The following is a 10232-nucleotide window of genomic DNA, read 5'->3' as shown; positions in this document are numbered from 1 at the left end:
CACAGTGGCTCATGCCTGTAATCCCAACACTTTGGGAGGCCCAGGCAGGCGGATCACCTGAGGTCAGGGGTTCAAGATCAGCCTGACAAACATGTTGAAACCCCATCTCTACTAAAAATTAGAAAATTAGCCATGCGTGGTGGCTAACGCCTGTAATCCCAGCTACTTGGGAGGCTGAGGCAGGAGAACCGCTTGAACCCGGGAGGCAGAGGTTGCAGTGAGCCGACATCACGCCATTGCACTCCAGCCTGGGCGACGAGTGAAACTGTCTCAAAAAATAAATAAAAATGAAAATGTTTCCTACTGTGATTCTTCTAACAGTGATGCAGTCAGTGATGTCCTGTGGGCTTTCGGCCGATTGTGACGTGGTCTGTCTATTGTAGAGGACATGCCTGGATTGGCACCTCACGGAGTGTGTTGCAAGCTGGTGTCACACACACATGTAGCTAATCAAGTTTGGACAAGGAGAACAGAAAACTGCATAGATTAGAATCAGTAGTGGCTGGTCTCCTGGTTACTGGTTTGCAAGTTGCATTCCGTTCCCTAAATCTTTTCTCTTGAGTTTCTTGAGCAAGGGGTCTGGGGTCTGAGCTACCAAGGCCCTGCATGCTCATGTTACCTTGTGAACTCATCTTACCAATGCCAACAGCATAAGTTAATCTGTATTTTTTTTTTTTCTCATTCATATAGTTTACTTAATCTGCGTACAGATGATTGAATTCTGTGGTTTGCAAACTTAGCATTGGAAAACTTAGATTCCCCTGGAGGGCTTGGTAAGCAGAGGCCACTGGGCCCTCCACCCCACAGAATAAGATTTCAGTACTTCTGGAGTGGTACAGAGCATTTGCATTTCAAGTAGTTTCCAGGTGATATTGGTGCTGTTGGTCCAGGAACCGCCCACTGGGAACCACGACTGTGTGCATGCACATCATGGGTACAGCTAAATACAGGATGTTTTTGTCTTGTGTTTAAAATGGACATTCACCTTTGGAGCAGATGAACGGATAATTTTATGATTTTTGGACATCCAGCCACCAGAGGAGTTATGTAGAATAGCACTTTAATGAATGGCAATCAAGAAGTCAAAGACAAAAATCATTCTGTAACATCCATCCTGTTCCTCCACTGGACTAGGGTACTTGGCAATATAGCATGGCACCCATTACAGGGCATTTTTTAGCTTAAAGGTACACTCAAATTGTATGAAGCAAATACTGAGCAATCATTCATGCATTGGTTGTATATTGAAAAGCCAAAAATAGCCTTTTCTCAATACATAGTGAAGCTTTGGGAAAAAAAAATGGAGTGTTTGCATGTTGTTTTAAAGTGTTGGTTGTAAGTATTGCAAGAACAGTACTAAATACTAAAACGCATGTCCTAAAAATCCATGATCAGGATTCACTTTATCCTGATTTTGTAATGCCTTTAAGTGCAGTGCTAGAAAGGAACAGAGTGTATCTAATAACTTGAAATATGATGTTGCCTCTAGGCTAGTATTAATTTTTGTAAAAAGGATTATAATTTTCCTTGAACTTAACTATGTAGCACAGGTCAGATGGTGAGAGAGGTAAGTCCCTGAATAGCTACTTAAAAAGCAACCAGTAACCTTTCAACTACCGTATTAACCTTTACTAGGCACCCACAGCTATCTGAGTTTTTATGAGAAAGGGCAAGATCTTTGAAGCATAGGAAATGAATATCATACTCTACCCACTCCTTTTGGAAGGCCCTTTTTACAGTTCTATTAATAACCTGGGGCTTTTTTGTTTTTGTTTTTTTTTTTTTTTACTCTTAGCTGAGATATCATTAAAACAAGACTGGAAAGATTTTGACATTTCATTTTTGCTTTGACAGGTAACAAGGTGCTGTGGATATTTTGTTTTGAAAGAGGGGTAGGTCAATCTGTTGGATGTTTGGTCTACATAGTGTTATAATTCTAAGCCAACAAACTTTAAAGAGTGGAGAAATTAATCCAGGGGAAATGATAGCAGGCATTCTTTTGCCTTTTGGGAATACTTTTCCTTAATCAAATGCTTAGGTGGGTAGTGACCTCTCAGTGCTCTCCTGTCACCTGTGAGTGACACAAAATAGGAGCTATAAACTAGATTAAATTAAATTAAATAATTATATAGACCAGACTTGGTGGCTCACACCTGTAATCCCAGCCCTTTGGGAGACCAAGGAGGGTGGCTCACTTGAGGTCAGGAGTTTGAGACCAGCCTGGCCAACATGGTGAAACCCCTTCTCTACTAAAAATACAAAAATTAGCTGGGTGTGGTGGCGGCACCTGTAATCCCAGCTAGTTGGGAGGCTGAGGCAGGAGAATCACTTGAACCTAGGAGGCAGAGGTTGCAGTGAGCTGAGATCACACCACTGCACTCCAGCCTGGGCATCAGAGTGAGACTCTGTCATTCATAAATAAATAAATAAAGTCATATGGTGACAGATTCAAGAAAGGAGATAAAAATAAGAAAGAATATGATTAATTTAAATCAGCGGGCAGCAAATCTGGCCCACTACAAGTTTTTTGTATGGCCTGTAACGAAAGATTTTTACATTTTTAAGTGGTTGAAGCGGAAAAGTAAAAAAAATAAAAATAAAAAATAAAATAAATTTGTGACATGGGAAAATTACATGAAATTCAAACTGAAGTTTTATTGGAACGCAGCCACTCTCAATTTGTTTATGTATTGTCAATGGCTGCTTTCACACTGTGGCAAAGTTGAATAATTGTGATAGAGCCCATATGGTCTCAAAGCCTAAAATACACGCTCTCTGGGCCTTTGTGAAAAACTTTGCTGATCACTGATTTCAGTGGCGTGATGAGACGGATTGTGGCACTGGTGGAAACGGGAGAGCAGCCCTTTGGAGCAGCCACAGTGGGAAGCAGGTTTGGTGTGGGCAGCAAGCAACAATGGACAGTAGTGTGACATCCAGAGCTCCTTCTCGGTCCGCTGGACCTATCAGCAGTGTCTGACACCGTCCATCCCTCTCCTTGCCAGGCTTTTCCTCCCTTGGCTTCTAGAACACCACTCTCTCCTGGTTTCCCTCCTACCTCTCCAGCCTTTCTTTCTGTATCTCTCTTACTGGTTCTTCCTCATCTCTGAAACTTCTAAACATTGGCATGCCTCAGGGCTCAGCACTTGCACTTCTTCCTTTTCTTGTCTACACTAACTCCCTAGGGTGTTTGGAGGATTTGGGGACTGATCAAAGAGAAAGACATGACCATGAGATGGCAGCAGCACACACATATTTTATTGGTGATGGTGACACTCTGACAGGTTTGCATAGGGGTAGGGGGATGTCCCTTAGAGCAAGAGTCTGTGCAAAGAGCACACACTACAGGTGTTGCTACTCAGAAGGAGAGGAGGAAAGGCAAGGATACCCCCGAGGGAGGGGAGAGTCAGAAACAAGGCTTATGTGTCTAGGTGGTGTTGCACAGCAGTACAGAGGGGAGTCTCTGGGTCAGAGAGCTCCGAAGGACAGGGACGGCTTGAGGTTTGTGTTTTTGTTTTTGGCTTTATTTTTCTGAGACAGGGTCTCACTCTGTCACCCAGGCTGGAGAGCAGTGGCATGATCTCAGTTCACTGCAACCTCCACCTCCCAGGCTCAAGTGATCCTCCCACCTCAGCCTCCCAAGTAGCTGGGACTACAGGCGCATGCCACCACATATAGCTAATTTTTGTATTTTTAGTAGAGACAGGGTTTCATTACATTGCCCAGGCTGGTCTTGAACTCCTGAGCTCAAGCGATCTGCCTGCCTCGGCCTCCCAAAGTGCTGGGATTAACATCGCACTTAAGGTCTTATAACCACAAGGCTCTATGTTATCAATGGCCAACAGATGCTGGGTATAGTTTCACCGGGTATGTACCAGCAAGGCCCTGAATGGCTAAAAATTGGCATAAAATTTGTTTAAAATAATTGGATGTGTAAAAATTTGAGTTTGGCTTCTGCAGTAATCAGTGTCAGCCTGCAATGAAGAAATAAACAATCTATGAGCCAATAAACAGAGGCCATCTTTCACTCATTTATATAACTCTAGGTGATCTCACCCAGTTTTAAGGCTTTAAATACCGTCTCTATGATGATGACTCCCACATGCAGTCTTCAACACAGGCCTTTTCCTCCAGCACTGGCTCATATACCCAGCTCAACACCTCTGCTGGGTATCTATTCACGTCTCAAACTTAACAAGTTCAAATCTGAGCTCCCCATCTCTACCCTTCCAAACCAGTCCCTCCTGCAGTCTCCCCATCTGTTTTCCCAGATGCTCAGGCCTAAAGCCTTGGTATTCTCCTCTCATTCCCTCATGCCACACCAAAACCAGCAGCCCTACGTGTCAGCTCTGTCTCCAGAATAGATCTAGAATTCTACCACTTCTCCCCATTCCCAGTGCCACCACCTTGGACCCTGCCATCACAATGACCCACCAGGGTCATTACAGTGCCCTCCTTATTGGTTTCTGTGTTTCTGCCTTCACTTCCCCTACAGCCATCACTCAACCCAGCAGCCAGTGTTGTTATAAACATAAAGCAAATCCTATCAGTCATCCGTTGAGAACTCTCCAATTGTAAAACAAAAGTCCTTACCAGGACCTACAGAGAGCCCTGCGTGACCTGGCCCCTGCTGCCTCTCTAAGCTCACCTCCTACGACAGTCTCCCACTCTGGCCTCTTGTTCTTCTTCAAACATGCCAAACACATTCCTGACCCAGGGCCTTTGCACCTACTATTCCCTCTGCCTGAAATGTCCTTGCCCCAGGTGTCCACATGGCTCACACCCTTTCTTTAGGTCTTTCATCAACAGATACTTTCTCAGTGAAGCCTGTCATATATGTGAGTGTCAGGATCCTGGACTGCAGAATTGTAATTACTGCAATTAATTAATTATTTCAGCACCTGAAATCTCCTGATTATATTATGTGTTTGTTGTTCGTTTGTTTGTTTTGAGACAGAGTTTCGCTCTTGTTGCCTAGGCTGGAGTGCAGTGGCACGATCTCAGCTCACTGCAACCTCCATCTCCTGGGTTCAAGTGATTCTCCTGCCTCAGCCTCCCGAGTAGCTGGGATTAGAGGCAACTGCCACTACACCCAGCTATTTTTTTGTATTTTTAGTAGAGTAGAGTTTCACCATGTTGACCAGGCTGATCTCCAACTCCCGACCTCAGGTGATCTGCCTGCCTCGACCTCCCAAAGTGCTGGGATTACAGGGGTGAACCACCCACCCGGCCTCCTGATTATACTATGTTTTACAGTGGCATGGTGTGTATTTTCATTTTGTAATAATAGGACCCTTTCTTTCCTCCTGTCCCAGCTCTGTGTTATAACTCCTTCTCGATAAACTTGTCATGATATTATAAATCATGACAATATATTCAAATAAGAAAATAAATCTAAAAGTTAAATTACAGGTGGCTGCATCTGCACACAGATTTGGAGGATGGGGCACTGAGGCCATTGTTTCTCATTGTATTAGATACCTAGGGCTGCCATAACAATGTGCCACAAGCTGAGTGGCTTAAAACAACAGAAAAGTATTCTATTGCATATCTGGAGGCCAGAAGTCTGAAACTGAATTGTTGGCAGAGGCAGTGTTCCCTCTGACAGTTCTAGGGCAGAATCCTTCCTTGACCGTACCAGAAAAATCTGGTAACCCAGGCATTTCTTGGCTTGAAGAGGCATAGCTCCAGTCTCTGCCTCTGTCTCCACATGGTATTCTCCTCTGTGTGTGTGTTTGTCTCTGAATTTCCGTCTTCTTGTAAGGACACCAATAATACTAGAAACTCTAATGACCCCATCTTAACTGCGGAGACCTGATTTCCAAATAAGGTCACATTCATGGGTGCCAGTGGTTAAGACTTCTTCATTTTGGGGACAAAATTCAACCCATAATCCTCATTTATAAGCCTTTCAGGACTACTTAATGTTTTTACAATGGACATAAATTATTTTGATTAAAAGTGGGAAAAACAGTGGACTAGATTGTTCTTCACTTCTTCCTGAAGAAATGGTGACATCCCCAAGATCCTAATTGTACCGTCTGAGCAGCACGTATTGGGTGGGATTCTCTTGGATGTCTCCTTCATCTTTGATAGACCATCTACACCTTCACGTTTCCCTCCCCTGGGGTGTTTGCAAACTAAAATGAAAAGATGTACTAATGTGCAGAACCTCAACAAGGCAGATGCCAGGGGGAAGCTGGGGGGTGCCATATGCATTGCACTCTAGCTTCCAGCAGCTTTCCTCGTGAGCAGTGCCCAGTGTGTGAGTGTGTGTGTGTGTGTGTGAGATTTGCCAGGCTGGCATTTGGTGTATTGCTGGGTTTTATTTTCTCTCCTATAGACAGTAAATCATTTTTCACCTTGGGCCCCTGAATCTCTCTTTAGGAAAGGATTTTGTTTTCTGCTGGGCTGTGATAGGAAAAAAGGAAGAGACATTGTACTCTGTGCATGTGAGTACATGCTGAGCATTTCCCAGTATCTTGTATCAGGATATATTAAGACAAGGGGTTGCAAGTGCAGGTATACTATTTGGCATAATATAAGCCTTGACTTTGGATAGTTTCTTAGGTCAGGGTCCCCCAGGAGCAAACCCTGAGACAAGTATTTGAAAACAAGCAGTTTATATGAGAGATGATCCCAGGAAACACCAGCAGGGTCACCAGTGGGCAGTGGAAAAGGTAAAGGCAGCCAATAAAGGCTGCATTATTGGGCAGGTCACTGCTGTGGCACCTGGGGCATGATCCACAGAGGAAGTCTGGGAGGCAGTGCAGAATATGTGCCTCAGTGTCTCTCCACCTGAGGGGGGTGGGTGCTGGCCTGCTTTATTATGGGTTGAATTGTGTCCCCAGAAAAAAAACATGTTGAAGTCCCAACCCCTAATACATGTAAATGTGACCTGACTTGAAAATAGGGTGGTTGCAGATGTAATTAGTTAAGATGAGGTCATACTGGAGTAGGATGGGTCCTTAATTCAATATGACTGGTGTCCTGATGAAGAACACCATGTTAACAGACAGACTCACAGGGAGAGAGTGCCCATGTGCAGACAGAGGTGGCAGTGGGAGCTCTGCTGCCACAAGCCAAGGAAGGCCTGGAAGAAGCAAGGAATGAAGAAGCAAGGATGAAGCAAGAAACCAGGAAGAAGCAAGGAATGATCCTCCTCTACAGGCTTTGAAGGGAGCATGGCCTTGCCAGCACCTTGATTTTGGACTTCTGGCCTCCAAAACTGTAAGAGAATAAATTTCTCTTGTTTTAAGCCATCCGTTTTGTGGTGATTTGTTATGGCAGCCCCAGAAAACTAGTATGGTATGTATTTACCAACCCCCCTTGTCCACTATAAGAGCTACCTCCTCCAGCAGCCTTCCCCTCCTCACACCCCCATCACTGCCCTTTACAAACAGGCAGTCACAATCCCATGGCCAGAAAAAAAAAAAAATGCAGGCAGAGAGATAGCAAGAAACCTTCTAGAAGTGTGTGTCCAGGTTTAGAAAAATTTGCCATCAGATTTATAGCACTGATGGGCTCCCCATATGACAAAGCAGCAATGCTCCTGGAAAAGTATGTCACAGAGAGTTCATCTAAAAAGAATCTGGTTAAGTAGCACAGGCAATTCTTGACTTAGCCAAGAGGAGGAGAACCAGGTCTTCCTTGATGGATAAAAGTCCTACGTGATTTTAAGTCTTATTTTTGCCTCTGCTGGGGCTCGGCCCACACCATCCCAAAATATGACTGGAGGAGACCACAATGTGCCACCCAAAAATATACCTCTTTGGCATATTTCGAGCTGATTATTCAGAGAAACTACAGACACAGGAATGGCTCTAAAAAGCTGTCCTTTTTACAAGGAAATGTACATCTAGAAAGGAAATCTACATTAGTAAAGTATCTGTATCAGGAAGAAGGCTGCTCAGAGGTAGGGATCTCAGAAGGAAAGCTGGTCAGCAGCCAGGATGCCTTCCCCGCTCAGGAAAGGACATGGTCTCTAGTGAACCTGACAGACAACCAGATGGCCGCTGGCCTCCATATGCACAAACAATGAAAGTACACTGGAGCCCATTATGAAGAAGAAAGATGGTAACAAAGATTCAAATGGCATGAAAAAGAATCTTCAGTTTGTTGGCATTAATGGAGGTTATGCAACAACTTCAAGTGATGATTTTCACACAGATGAAAGCTCTTCTTCTGAGTCAGATGACGAGTGTGATGTCATTGAGTGTCATTGAGTAGTATCCTCTTGAAGAAGACGAGGATGAAGACACTTGGGGAATGGCCAAAGGGCACCATGCCATTAACATTGAAGGTTTCAAGTTGGCCAGGGTGGAAGATGAAATGCAGTTTCAAGAACGTGAACCTGAGAAGGTGAAAATCAGAGGGAGGTATAAATTAAGTGAAAAAATGTTGTCTGCTTGCAACTTACTGAAAAATAATATAAATGACCCCAAAGCTGTGACCAGCAAAGATATGAGGTTCTGTCTGAACACCCTCCAGCACAAGGGGTTCTGCGTGTCCAGTCAGAAGTTAGCCATTGCAGCCACCCTGGGAGACTACAGAGCTGCTTTTGAGGCTACCTCCCTGGATGCCCTCTACTAGGTCATCAACTTGGCAGATGGCAACAGCAACACAGCCCTCCATTACAGCATGTCCCACTCCAATTTTGAGATTGTGAAGCTGCTGTTGGACACCCACATGTGTAACGTGGATCACCAGAACAAGGGGCTATACCTTCATCATGCTGGCGGCCCTCGCAGCTGCGGAAGCAGAGGACATGCAGGTTGGGGAAGAACTCTGGCTGAAAGGTGAGCCTCAAAGCCAGTCAGCTGGGGCAGATGGCCCTCATGCTGCAGTCAGTTACTGTGCAGATCGGCATGGTGTATGGTCTGCCGGCCTGTGGGGCTCAGGTCAACCTCCAGGACGACAAGGGCTCCATGGTCCTCATTGTGCCAGCAAGCACGGGCACATGGAGATCATCAAGCTGCTGCTGGCCCAGCTGGGCTGCAACGTCCACCTGCAGGACAATGATGGCAGCACCATGCTCTCGATCGCCCTGGAAGTGGGGCACAAGGGCATCACTGTTCTTCTGTATGCCCACATCAGCTTTGCAAAAGCTCAGTCTCCGGGCACCCCTAGGCTTGGAATGAAGCCACAGAGTTTCATTTGATTGATTGTATGCAAATAGCCCTCCATTTTAATGCCACCATTAAGCTGCCAACTGTGCCTGTTGGAATGACAGACACTGAATGTATATGCATTGTGCCTGAGCTCACCAGCAAACAGAAGCATAAAGCCCAGGGCTAAAGACTGAAGCTTTCACAGTGCAGAGACTGCCAGCCTGGGCACACATGCCTCCTTTCTGGCCATCTTCTGTCTGCGTACGGTGCACTTTAACCTACTCTGTGTTGCTGTTGAGTCTCTGCTCTGTTATGTACAGCCATAGGGAATTGTGACCTGACCTGACCTGAATGGGCACCTTCTATTCCGTCTCTCCACTCCCAGACCACCACCACAGAGAAGTGTCAGGTTCTCATTGGCATCACGTTTTAAAATTTTTCCACAAATATTTATATTTACCAAATGTGGCACCATTAGAAAGCTCTTCCAAAATTCCATCCCAGCACAGTTTTGTTGATTTTTCTTGTATTATTTTAAAGTAAGAAAGTTGATCATCAGTAACTTCAGTCTGGGCTAGATAGAACTCTCAAAAACTATGAAACTTACAAAAGAAAATATTTTCATTTGGTTTCATCTAGGTAGATGTAAATATGACTTTTTTAAAAAAAAAGAGTATATGAAATTGGCACAGTATTTTCAACTTTTATATTTCATACTAATTAAAGACATGAAGAACTACATGTAACATTATCATATTTTTGTTAATAATTGCACAATTCTGTATCTAATGATAAAGGTTGAATTGTGTTAGAGGAATTGGCTATGTATTTGCCTCTAGAGAAATATAGTGTAGTTCTCTGTATTTATGGATTCCTTTATACTGTGTCACATTTACTTTGGTCCTACATGTATTTAAATATTTGAAGTGCCTTAGACTTTTGCCATATTTTCAAAATAAAATTTCATTAAGCTTTTAAAAAAAAAAAAAAAAGAAGGCTGCTGGATCACTTTGATTACCTGAGAGATTTTATCTGCATAACAACACAACCTTTATTTATCATACAATTCCTCCTGCTACCTTCCCATAACTGTGTCCCCCAGGAACCCCAAGCCCCCTATTCTCT

At 44.1% G+C, this 10232-nt stretch overlaps 1 pseudogene, besides 1 other annotated feature; it reads left to right on the top strand.

The window, feature by feature from the left end:
• Window positions 3231-3280: a silencer, noted in NCBI's record as "silent region_12660". NCBI's record gives its function as "represses an Ori minimal core promoter by ATAC-STARR-seq in GM12878 lymphoblastoid cells {active_cell/tissue: GM12878}" and the evidence as "EXISTENCE:reporter gene assay evidence [ECO:0000049][PMID:35858748]".
• Window positions 7909-10083, top strand: KANK1P1 (KN motif and ankyrin repeat domains 1 pseudogene 1; annotated as a pseudogene).

Source organism: Homo sapiens, chromosome 20, assembly GCF_000001405.40.
Source record: "Homo sapiens chromosome 20, GRCh38.p14 Primary Assembly".
Lineage (NCBI taxonomy): Eukaryota > Metazoa > Chordata > Mammalia > Primates > Hominidae > Homo > Homo sapiens.
The sequence above is the reverse complement of the archived record's forward strand: the minus strand, read 5'-3'. Positions and strand labels throughout refer to the sequence as shown.